Source organism: Homo sapiens, chromosome 12, assembly GCF_000001405.40.
Source record: "Homo sapiens chromosome 12, GRCh38.p14 Primary Assembly".
Classification (NCBI taxonomy): domain Eukaryota; kingdom Metazoa; phylum Chordata; class Mammalia; order Primates; family Hominidae; genus Homo; species Homo sapiens.
In genome coordinates, this window is record NC_000012.12 from 9564544 (window position 1) to 9577087 (window position 12544).

General features: G+C 44.4%; 1 pseudogene across 1 annotated transcript in view, besides 1 other annotated feature; it reads left to right on the forward strand.

Annotated features, from left to right (window-relative positions):
* OVOS1P (ovostatin 1, pseudogene) overlaps window positions 1-11727 on the forward strand; it is a 127984-nt pseudogene extending 116257 nt beyond the window's left edge. Inside the window, exons 39-46 of the transcript NR_153413.2 lie at window positions 549-760; window positions 2947-3024; window positions 4515-4659; window positions 6223-6349; window positions 6918-7030; window positions 8460-8550; window positions 8923-8991; window positions 10304-11727. The product of NR_153413.2 is annotated as an ovostatin 1, pseudogene (transcript). The remainder of the gene's footprint in view (window positions 1-548; window positions 761-2946; window positions 3025-4514; window positions 4660-6222; window positions 6350-6917; window positions 7031-8459; window positions 8551-8922; window positions 8992-10303) is intronic.
* Window positions 4316-5139: an enhancer, noted in NCBI's record as "H3K27ac-H3K4me1 hESC enhancer chr12:9721455-9722278 (GRCh37/hg19 assembly coordinates)". NCBI's record gives its function as "activates a minimal SCP1, AML or CMV promoter by ChIP-STARR-seq in primed H9 embryonic stem cells {active_cell/tissue: H9 hESC(primed)}" and the evidence as "EXISTENCE:reporter gene assay evidence [ECO:0000049][PMID:30033119]".
* Window positions 11728-12544: the final 817 nt, after the last annotated feature.

The window sequence follows — 12544 nt, forward strand, 5'->3', positions numbered from 1 at the left end:
ATCAAGCCTGGTGACCAAGCCATAGGCTATCGAAACTGCTGGGGAAGCTTAATCACCTGCTACTTAGAAAGTTGCTATTTAAGGCTGTAGTAGTTTGCTATAGCTGTCATAAAATACCACATACTGGATGACTGCAGCAACAAAAGTTTATTTTCTCATGCTTCTGGAGGCTAGAAGTCTAAGTTCAAGGTGTTGAAAGTGTGGTTTCTTCACCTGCAGATGACCACATTCTTCCTTTGTCTTCACAAGATCTTTTGTGTGTGCACAGCCCTGCTCTCCCTTTTGTGTGTCCAAAATTTTTCTTCTCATAAGGTCACCAGTCAGATTGGATTGTGGCCCATAAGCTTCATTTTAACTTAATCACCTCTTTAAAAAGTCTTATCTCCAAATACAGCCACATTTTGAGGTACTTGGTGTTAGGGCTTCAACATATAATTTTAGGGGAACAATTCAGCACAAACAGAGGTCGGGAATGGAATTTTCATCCTTCTTTATGTGTAACCCATGACTTTTATACAGACTATGTGAAAATTCTTCCTTTTTCTCAGATAATGTCATCTACTGGGAAAGAGAAAGGAAACCCAAGACAGAAGAATTTCCATCCTTTATTCCCTGGGCACCTTCTGCTCAGACTGAGAAGAGTTGCTACGTGCTGTTGGCTGTCATTTCCCGGAAAATTCCTGACCTCACCTATGCTAGTAAGATTGTGCAGTGGCTTGCCCAACGGATGAATTCCCATGGAGGCTTTTCTTCCAACCAGGTGATTAATGTAGGCCTGATATTAATAGCAATATGTTTAATGCAGAAGCTGTAACTCTGTGACGAGTGAGATATTAATAGTAAAGCTATCACAACAAACCCTTTCTGAGAAGAAGAATCTTTGGTAATAAGATTCTTATTATCTTATTAATCTTATTTTATTTCCTCAACAATTATTTATTGGCCAGTTATTGTGTATCAGGCACTCTACTAGGAAGCCTCTAAATAGAAATGAATGAAATGAGGTCTCCTGTTCCAGGAATTTATGACCGTTTGTATCTTCATTCACACAGCAAACATAGAATAAGTCTAGAGGACATTTTTGTCGTAAGCACCACTCTTGGTGGTACATTAGACACCTGATGATACTCTGTTCAAATTATATACGGGCCAAAAAGAAAGCTTTCGCTCTAGTTCTGTGGGCTATACACTGGGAAAAGCAAATGAAAAGAAGGAAAACAGGAGAAATGGGGGGTATGAGAAACAATGACATGTTTTTCCTTACTTGGAAACAAATTGAAAATGCAAAAAAGCAGTTTTATCTCCATAAGAAAAATCTTCATTTCTCTTTGTGTTTGGTCTTAGTTTCGGAGTAAAACCATATGCTAATGAATTTCCAAAGATCTTTTCCTGATTCTGAATTCCCTTCTTTGAAGATGAACAGAAAAAAAAGAATTATCCATGGCAGCCACAGGGGCCACTGAATTATGTAATGCCTTAACTTTTAGAAAAGGTTTGACACCATTTTTAACCAAGGAGGCTATATTTTATTAAAAATTTTTAGAAAGTAAAAATATAATTAACATTTGTTGAAAAAAATTAATTTAAGTGGAAACAATTTGCACAAGCAAGGATATTTTCCTACCATTCAGGATATTGCTTCTTGGTGTTTTGCTGACCTGTTTTAGGAACATTTCTAAGGGTTGATATGAAGTCCATTGTCAAATGATGACCAATATTGTGTTGTAACTGAGCTTGGATCATTGTTTGTGCTGTTCTGTGCAGGAAACTGCAGTTTGTCTTCTTGCCATAACCCGCTACATAACCCGTGAGGCGGGGACTGAGAGCCAGGAGGGGAAGAGGGGTAGAGGATGATACTAATTTCAGCATCGCCGGCTGTGTTCACCCAGCCTGTGAAATTGTTATTAATATCCTGAAAGGGAGAGAATGATATTACTCCCCATAATAGACAGATACGACTCCGCATAATAGAGCACAAGGTGTACACCCACCCTGTGATATTCTTCCTCATATTCAGAGGCCGAGAAGTTGATATTACTCCCACTATCACAGGACGTATACACCCTCGTGTTAGATGGTCCTTAATAATATTCCAAGGCGGAGTGGGTGATGTGACTACATATATGGCAGAAAGGGTACACCCCCCTGGGATATTGTTCCCACGATCCTTGAGGGAAGAAAATGATATTACTTTCAATATGACAGAAGGTGGACACGCCCCCACTGATATTGTTTCTAATTGCAACGTGGGAGAGGAGGATGTGACACGGGATATCGCAGGGAGTAGAAACACCCCTGTGTTACTGTTCTTAATATTCAGGGAGGAAGAGGATGATATTACTCCCAATACAGACGGGTGTACACCCGTCTGTGAAACAGTTCATAATCTCCAGAGGTCTCCAGAGGGGGAGATGATATTACTCACAATATGGTAAACAGGCTGAGTCCACCGTGGATCCTAAGAGCCAGCGGGGGAAGAGGGGCTGGCTCTCAGTCACCACAGCATGGGGGGCCTTTATGTTCAGGTTTTGCCCAAGAGTCAGCTTATTTGCTTCTAGTACTAGCAGGGTAGATGCTGCCAAGGCCCTCAAACAGGGGGGCCATCCCTTAGAAACCCTGTCTAGTTGTTTAGAGACGTAGGCCACCGGCCTCAGCCAGGTCCCCACAGTTTGGGTTAAAAGTCCAGCTGCCATCTTTTCTCTCTCTGACTCATACAATGGAAAAGGTTTTGTCAGATCGGGTAGCCCCAGTGCTGGGGCTGCCAGAAGTTTTTCCTTTAACTCATGAAAACCTTGCTGTTGTTGGGATCCCCATTGGAAAGCTTCCCGGTCCCCGCCCCCTTTGTGACCTCATACAAAGGCTTGGCTAATACTGGAAAGTTTGGGATCCACTGTCTTCATAACCCCACAGCTCCTAAGAATTCTCTCACCTGCCTTCTGCCCTTAGGCTCCGGTAGATTGCAAACGACCTGCTTTCTTTGTGATCCCGGCTGCATTCGGACCCCTGTCAGACAGTAAATCCCAAGTAAGGTACCTGCCATCGGCAGATCTGAGCTTTCTTCTTGGACACCTAAAACCCACAGTCCTCCACTTGGGTCCTAAGGGTCTTAGGATCCGCGATGGGGGTAATAACCAGCGGGGGAAGAGGGGCTGGCTCTCAGTCCCCGCCTCGCGGGGGGTGCCTCCCCCCTCTGCGATGGGGGTTCCAAGAGCCAGGGGGGGAAGAGGGGCTGGCTCTCAGTCACTGCCTCGTGGGGGATGCCTCCCCCCCTGCGATGGGGGTCCTAAGAGCCAGGGGGGTAAGAGGGACTGGCTCTCAGTCCCCGCCTCGCGGGGGGGTGCCTCATCCCCCTGCGATGGGGGTCCTAAGAGCCAGGAGGGGAAGAGGGGGAGAGGATGATACTAATTTCAGCATCGCCGGCTGTGTTCACCCAGCCTGTGAAATTATTAATATCCTGAAAGGGAGAGAATGATATTACTCCCCATAATAGACAGATACGACTCCGCATAATAGAGCACGAGGTGTACACCCACCCTGTGATATTCTTCCTCATATTCAGAAGCCAAGAAGTTGATATTACTCGTAATATCGCAGGACGTATACACCCTCGTGTTAGATGGTCCTTAATAATATTCCAGGGCGGAGTGGGTGATGTGACTACATATATGGCAGAAAGTGGAAACCCCCCTGAGATATTGTTCCCACGGTCCTGGAGGGAAGAAAATGATATTACTTTCAATATGACAGAAGGTGGACACGCCCCCACTGATATTGTTTCTAATTGCAACGTGGGAGAGGAGGATATGACACGCGATATCGCAGGGAGTAGAAACACCCCTGTGATACTGTTCTTAATATTCAGGGAGGAAGAGGATGATATTACTCCCAATACAGATGGGTGTACGCCCTCTGTACACTGAGGGTGTACACCCGTCTGTGAAACAGTTCATAATCTCCAGAGGTCTCCAGAGGGGGAGATGATATTACTCACAATATGGTAAACAGGCTGTGAGTCCACCGTGGATCCTAAGAGCCAGGGGGGGAAGAGGGGCTGGCTCTCAGTCACCACAGCATGGGGGGCCTTTATGTTCAGGTTTTGCCCAAGAGTCAGCTTATTTGCTTCTAGTACTAGCAGGGTAGATGCTGCCAAGGCCCTCAAACAGGGGGGCCATCCCTTAGAAACCCTGTCTAGTTGTTTAGAGACGTAGGCCACCGGCCTCAGCCAGGTCCCCACAGTTTGGGTTAAAAGTCCAGCTGCCATCTTTTCTCCCTCTGACACATACAATGGGAAAGGCTTTGTCAGTTCGGGTAGCCCCAGGGCTGGGGCTGCCAGAAGTTTTTCCTTTAACTCATGAAAGCCTTGCTGTTGTTGGCATCCCCTTTCCAAAGCTTCCCGGTCCCTGCCCCTTTTGTGACCTCATACAAAGGCTTGGCTAATACTGCAAAGTTTGGAATCCACAGTCTCCAAAACCCCACAGCTCCTAAGAATTCTGTCACCTGCCTTCTGCCCTTAGGCTCCCGTAGATTGCAAAGGACATGCTTTCTTTGTGATCCCGGGCTGCATTCGGACCCCTGTCGGATAGTGAATTCCAAATAATGTACCTACCGTCGGCAGATCTGAGCTTTCTTCTTGGACACCTAATACCCACAGTCCTCCAGGTGGGTCCTAAGGATCTTCGGATCCGTGTTGGGGGTCCTAGCCAGGGCTGGAAGAGGGGCTGGCTCTCAGTCCCCGCCTCACGGGTGGTGCCTCCCCGACTGCGATGGGGTTCCCAAGAGCCAGTGGGGGAAGAGGGGCTGGCTCTCAGTCCCTGCCTCGCGAGGTGTGCCCCCCCCTGTGATGGGGGTCCCAAGAGCCAGAGGGGGAAGAGTGGCTGGCTCTCAGTCCCCGCCTCGCAGGCGGTGCCTCCCCACTCTTCGATGGGGTTCCCAAGAGCCAGGGGGGGTAGAGCGGCTGGCTCTCAGTCCCCGCCTCGTGAGGTGTGCCTCCCCGCCCTGCGATGGGGGTCCCAAGAGCCAGGGGGAGAAGAGGGCCTGGCTCTCAGTCCGCGCCTCACGGGGGGTGCCTACCCCGCCTGCGATGGGGGTCCTAAGAGCCAGGGGGGAAAGAGGGGCTTTCTCTCAGTCTCTGCCTCGCGGGGGGTGCATCCCCCCACTGCGATGGGGGTCCTAAGAGCCAGGGGAGGAAGAGAGGCTGGCGCTCAGTCCCCGCCTCGCATGGGGTGCCTCCCCGCCTTGCATGGGGTGCCTCCCCGCCTTGCGATGCCCTCCCCGCCTTGCGATGCGGGTCCGAAGAGCCGCGTGGGGGAGAGGGGCTGGCTCTCAGTCCCCGCATCGCGTGGGGTGCCTCCACCCCCTGCGATGGGGGTCCTTAGAGCCGGGGGGGAAGAGGGGCTGGCTGTCAGTCCCCGCCTCGCGGAGGGTGCCTCCCCACCTTGCGATGGGGGTCCCAAGAGCCAGGGGGGGAAGAGGGGCTGGCTGAGTCCCCACCTCGCGGGGTTTGCCTCCGTCCCCACCTCGCGGGGTTTGCCTCCCTCCCTGCAATGGGAGTCCTAAGAGCCGGGGGTGGGAGGAGCTGGCTCTCAGTCCCCGCCCCGTGGGGAGTGCTTCCGCCCCCCGCGATGGGGGACCTAAGAGCCAGGGGAGTAAGAGGGGCTGGCTCTCAGTCCCCACCTCGCGGGGGGTGCCATCCCCCCCCTGCGATGGGGGTGCCTTCCCCCCCCCTGCGATGGGGGTCCCTTCCCCCCCCTGCGATGGGGGTCCCTTCCCCCCCCTGCGATGAGGGTCCCTTCCCCCCCCTGCGATGGGGGTCCCTTCCCCCCCCTGCGATGGTGGGGGTCCCAAGAGCCTGGGGGGCAAGAGGGGCTGGCTTTCAGTCCCTGCCTCGCGGGGGGTGCCTCCCCACCCTGCGATGGGGGTCCGAAGAGCCTGGAGGGGGGAAGAGGGGCAGGCTCTCAGTCCCCGCCTCGCTGGGGGTGCCTCCCCCACCTGTGACGGGGGTCCTAAAAGCCAGGGGTGGAAGTGGGGCTGGCTCTCAGTCCCCGCCTCGCGGGAGGTGCCTCCCCACCCTGCTATGGGGGTCCTAAGAGCCGGGGGTGGGAGGGACTGGCTCTCAGTCTCCGCCTCGCGGTGGGTGCCTCCCCGCCCTGCGATGGCGATCCTAAGAGCCCGGGGGGAAGAGGGGCTCTTCTCTAAGGATCAAAACACTGTCACCTTTAGCAGTGAAGGATCCAGTGAGATTTTCCAGGTTAACGGTCATAACCGCCTACTGGTCCAACGTTCAGAAGTAACACAGGCACCTGGAGAATACACAGTAGATGTGGAAGGACACGGTTGTACATTTATCCAGGTAACAGAAATCTGCCTAAGAGGGTGATGAGTGTTTGCCAGTAAAAGAGTCAGACTGTCTGTTCAGTTCTACGTGAAGTGTTATTTGACCGTTTTGTGTATTTACATAATCAATAGCCAAAATTGCAAGTTACTTTTTGAAAAGCTACTCAGCTGTCTAAGAGAAGTTTCTTGAGGAATATTGCTATTAGAAAGTATTCTATCTTCATTAAATTACATTATTCTGAAAACTAAAGAATTTAACCTGATTCCCTGATGATAAAGATGTAAACTGCATTAGTAATAGAAATAAACAATGGGTTCTTTCTTTTTAAAAATGTTTTAATTTTTGTGGGTACATAGTAGGTGTAAATATTTACCGGGTGCATGATACAGGCATGCAACGTGTAAGAATCACATCAGGGCAAGTGGGGTATGCATCACCTCAAGCATTTATCCATTGTGTTACCAATGATCGAAGTATACTCTTGGTTATTTTAAAATGTAAAATCACATTACTACTGACTCTAGTCAGACTGTATAATTCTTAATACAGGATGAGTTTTCTTATAATTTGCTATCCTTTCTAGGCCACCCTTAAGTACAATGTTCTCCTACCTAAGAAGGCATCTGGATTTTCTCTTTCCTTGGAAATAGTAAAGAACTACTCTTCGACTGCTTTTGACCTCACAGTGACCCTCAAGTAAGTGTCATATTTTGACAGTAACTCCCATGTGAACAAGATGGTAAAATATTTTAAAAGTTCAAACAGTAGTGAAATAACAAAATATAAATCATGGTAATATGATGAGTTCTCATGTTGGTGGTGACAATTCTACAGCACAGTCACTTTTTAGCCCTCTGTCCGGACACCACAATTTAGTACATCTTCAGCTAAATCAGAGCTAAAATGAGGCAAGAAAACATGCAGTCTATGTGAGCAGGATTTGAAAGCTTTCACTGCACTGATGTTTCAATGATACTTTTTATTCTGTTGTATGGAAGTACTCCTAGTTTTGAAAAACAGAGATTCTATATTTCTTTCTCAAGACAAGCATGCATGGTCATATAGTAGCAAGCCCACAAATGTTTCTTTTGTAACTGTAAAGAGTAACATTTTAGATTTTTACTTTTCAGAATAGAAAAACAAAATGATCCTCTTGAATTCAAGCATGATTTATAGATGCTAAAGGCTTTTAGCCTTAGTTAATATGTGGAAAACATTGAGTAAAATTAGTTTGGGAGATATTTTTTAGAATTTCTAAATAAAAATCGCTTGAGCTCCAGGGCTAAGAACTCAATGAATTGGGGAACTCTTTTTCTTTTTTTTTTTTCTTTCTTTTTTTTTTTGTTTGAGACAGAGTCTTACTTTGTCACCCAGGCTGCAGTACAGTGGCACAGTGGCACAATCTCAGCTCACTGCAACTTCCACCTCCTGGGTTCAAGGGATTCTTATGGCTCAGCCTCCTGAGTAGCTGGGATTAGAGGCGTGCACCACCACATCTGGCTAATTTTTCTATTTTTAGTAGAGTCAGAGTTTTGCCATATTGGCCAGGCTGGTCTTGAACTCTGACCCTCAAGTGATCCACCCACTTTGGCCTCCAGAAGTGCTGGGATTACAGGTGTGAGCAACCATGCCCTGATGAACTATGGAACTCTTAACACCCCAATAGTCTTATCCAGAAGCAGGAAACTGAGCTAGAAGTTCTCCTGGGGACCTATCTACTCTATAATTATGCTCATATACCACCTTTTAAGCAAAGATGTCCTCTAAGTGTTATGCAACTCTAACACTAACCTAAGTATATGTAAAAGATTTAGAAGCTCTGTTTATCAGTTCAAACTTTGAGACTGCAGGTAAGCTTAAAAGCAGGGTTTGGGGAAGATTTCATGTCCAGATAATTCATTATTTACTCCAATTTCTGTTGCTATGTATCATCTCTTTCATTATCATTCTGGTCGTGCCTATTCACAGATGCTTGAAAATGACTTTCTTCCGATGTTCTCTCTTCAGCTTTTACCTGTCCTCCAGATTTCTAGCCAATTAGTATTTATCCACCTGGCACCCTCATTATGAGATAAGTCACTTTTTAAAATTGATATCTAAACAAGTGTTTTCTTAAAATTTTCAGATACACTGGAATTCGCAATAAATCCAGTATGGTGGTTATAGATGTAAAAATGCTATCAGGATTTACTCCAACCATGTCATCCATTGAAGAGGTAAATAATAGAAGCCTAATCTTTCAGCACAAAGACAGCTACATAGAGTATAAAGATAAAATAAATACTTGTTCAGCCATAGTTTAGCAAAACAAAACTATAGAATTCTTCTTCAACATTCACCTTTGTATTTTTGCGCTAACACTGGAGAGCTGGTTTACTTAATTTGTACCAATTAGCAGTCAGTATTTCCCATGGATCATCATATATTTTTCTTTAGTTGCTACCTGTGTTTATGAAAACATCACGGCACCAAGGAATGTTCCATAAAACAGAACGTGACGTAGAAAAGAGTGGACATTGAGTTCTGCAGTGGCGCTGTCATTTTTTCTAATATCTATTCTCTATCCTTCCCTAACAATTTCTTCAAAGCTTGAAAACAAGGGCCAAGTGATGAAGACTGAAGTCAAGAATGACCATGTTCTTTTCTACTTGGAAAATGTAAGTTTAGCCATATTTTTTTTTCTTTAAAGTTTTTCTTTTTTCCTTCCAAGGATAATTGGATGCTTCAATTTCTTATAGATATGTATGATAGGATTTGTAAAAGGAAAAAATAAGGGACGTTAAGGATTACCAGTGTTTTATCCCACTGATCATCTTCTCCTTGCTAGTTCCAAGGCTATTTCATATATGCCCTGGCTATGTGACTAGATAGCTTTCCATTTTAGAAACATCATCTCCCTATCAAACACAGTCTGGTCACAGAGTAGATATGTAATTATTTTATAATTTGACTAAACTCTTACAAAGTTTGCCATAATTTTTTGAAATTACAATTGCGTATTGAAGGTATGTGGTGTGACGTTTTGATATATATAGTGAGCTGACTGTTATCATCTAGCGTGACTATATGTGAATTAGCTGACTAACACATCCCTCTCTTCACACAGTTACCTCTTCTTTTTTTGTGACAAAGCACTTAAGATCTACTCCCTTAGGGAATATTACATATACAGTACAGCATTGTTAACTGTAGGCCACCGCTGTACCCGAGATTTGTAGAATGTATTCATCCTGCACAGCTGAAGCTTTCTATCCTTTGACCAGCATCTCCCCATTTTCCCATCCCTGATAACTGCCATTCTACTCTCTGCATCTATGAACTCAACTTTAGATTTAACTTACAGGTGAGATCCTGCAGTGTTTTTTGTGTGTATCTGGTTTGTTTCATTCCACATAATGTCCTCCAAGTTCTTCAGTGTTGTTACAAATGGCAGAAATTCTTTCTTTTTTGAAGGCCGAATAATTTGTATGTGGATATGCCTCAGTTTCATTATCCATTCATCTGTTTCGAACACTTAGGTTGATTCCTTATGTTGGCTATTGTGATTAATGAAAGAATTAGCATGGGACTGCAGCTGTCTCTTCAAAATATTCATCTCATTTTCTTTGGATGCATACCCAGAAATGGGATTGCTGGATCATAGGGTAGTTCTATTTTTATTTTACTGAGGAAACGCCAAACTGTGGCATGCGCTTTAGGGACATCCTTTCTATGTGTATTGTTACCACTCACATAAATGCCTACATTCCTCTAAGACTTCCAGCTAAATTCCTCTCACCTCAATGTAAGCAAAGGAACTTGAAATTTTATATGATTTAAGGTTAACAACTCATTACTTTGCCAATATGTAAGTTAATCATACCCTAGATCTATTTAATTATGTAGATCATAAACTTCTGCGGATAATTTTCTCAGTGATTATCTTTTCTCAGACCTGCTACAATGTAATTATAATTTGTGTCATGATAGGGTTTTGGTCGAGCAGACAGTTTCCCTTTTTCTGTTGAGCAGAGCAACCTTGTGTTCAACATTCAGCCAGCCCCAGCCATGGTCTACGATTATTACGAAAAAGGTAGGCAAGCAACAGCCATGCCCTAAGGTTATTGAATGTGTTATTTATATATAACATTCCCTGAGCTACTAAACTTTCCAAAATCAACCTCCGTCTTCACAGAGTAAACAATAGATGGCATTACTTTGTATACTGGTTTCTTTATCCCATGATGTGTCTTCTGACTGAACCCATTTTCCAGTTACCAGAGTTTTTCAACACCAGAATCCTTGCAATATAACCTGACAGGGCTCCACTTGAACTTGAAATACAAGCCACACTAAGCTTCCAGGTCTTTTTGTTATTGTCATTGTTGTTCATGCTAAGACTGACTGTTCCAAGCTACTGCTGTGGACTTTGACTTAAAAAGAGGAGTGGGGAATATTCTGAAATGCTAACTTAAAAATTTGATAGATTAATTTCTAAAACATATACAAAGATGTTGTAGAGACCACACAACTGTTCCCTGGAAGGTTGGTACTATTTATTTCTTGTTGAATGCTGTGTGAAGTTTGTGGAGTGTTTGAATTCTGTCTCTATCAATCATTTACTAATAGAATATATTTCATCAAGTGTCTTAAATATTATTAGCATATTTCTGGATGTATAAAATGGGAAAGTAATTGTCTCTATTTCAAAATTATTGGAAGGATTAGATCTAATGTGCTTATATCATCTATTTAATAAAAATACATGTTCCCTTTATTTTTTCAGAAGAATATGCCCTAGCTTTTTACAACATCGACAGTAGTTCAGTTTCCCAGTGAGACAAAGCAATTACTGGAAGAGGTGAAGAAATTTTATTACGTCATAAACCATTGAAAACACATCTAGTAAGAAAATGAAAACCTGAATAAGATAGGACAGTAGTTGAAGAAAGAAAAGTGTCTGGTACTTCATTAGACTTGTGTAGCTGTGTACTGCATGAGTAATCTGATAATCATTAAGATTATATTAATTTCTTTAAAAATAGCTTTAAAGAATTCACAGCTATATATGTACCTTTTATAAATCTCTCATTTTTGTTTTGTAAGTTGACAGGTCAGTAAAAATTTAGGCATATATATTTGTACATATGTGTGTGTATGTACATGTCTATGTGCCTATATATGCATGATTTTATATCTAAATATCTATTTATATATACATACAAACGTGTTTATTGTTTAAACGATGTTTTAAATCCCAGGTGGAAAAGCATTTCTTGTAACAAACCGATTCTTCTGTATCAAACCTGGAAAAAAATCATGAACCATCTGACATCGTGAACAGTTTGCAGTGGGCTATGGTTTCTTGTCAAGTCTTATTTCCTTATCATCCCATTAAATGTTGTCATTTTGCATCTGAGTCTATGACTTTTTTTTCTTCCAGTACTCTTTTCACAGTTTTAATCCTAGAAAACACAGGGATTTTTTTTTGACAGCAACTTGAATAATTTGCTGTATGGCTGTCAACTCTAAATTTGAGTATTTAGACATTGTGGAACACAGAGTTACAATTCTTCCACATACAAAGAAAGAGAGAGAGAGAAAGAAGTGGGGGAAGAGAAAGAAGGAGACTAAGTGAAAGTTGAAATGGACTCCATGTTAATTCAAGGAAACAAAAATAAAGGCACAAAACACATAGACTCGAATGTATCTTCCGAGATCAAATCTGCCTCAGGCCTAATCCAACGTTGCCCATCCCGTTGGAGCAAAGGCATTGCTTGTGCAGAGGATCGGCCAGGACGTCCTATGCTTGCATCCTTACTCACCAGGTAAACACGCTCCTCATGCTCCAGATGTAGCCGGTCGTCACCCCCGAGGGATACTGGTCAGGTACTCAGGGATGGTTGAGAAATGGTTGTGGCCCGCCTCAGACCACCCCACGCAGTGGGCTGAGTGAATTTCCAAAGCGCAGAGACAGCATTGCAAAGGCACAGTGTGCCGGGATGGGCCCTGGACATACACTGTGCAATCCATCTCAGATGAGGTAATGGGAGCAAGTTGGTGTGTCCCAGGCCACAGGCACTTCTCACATCCCACCTGAGTGGGAGCCATCACAGGCTAGCATCCTCTTGTCCTGCCCTGATCCTGGTTTTCTGCCTGGCTTTGCAAGTCAAAGGGCATCCTTCCACCTGGAAGGATCCTGGAGGAGACATCTCTCAGAAGACAGTCCCA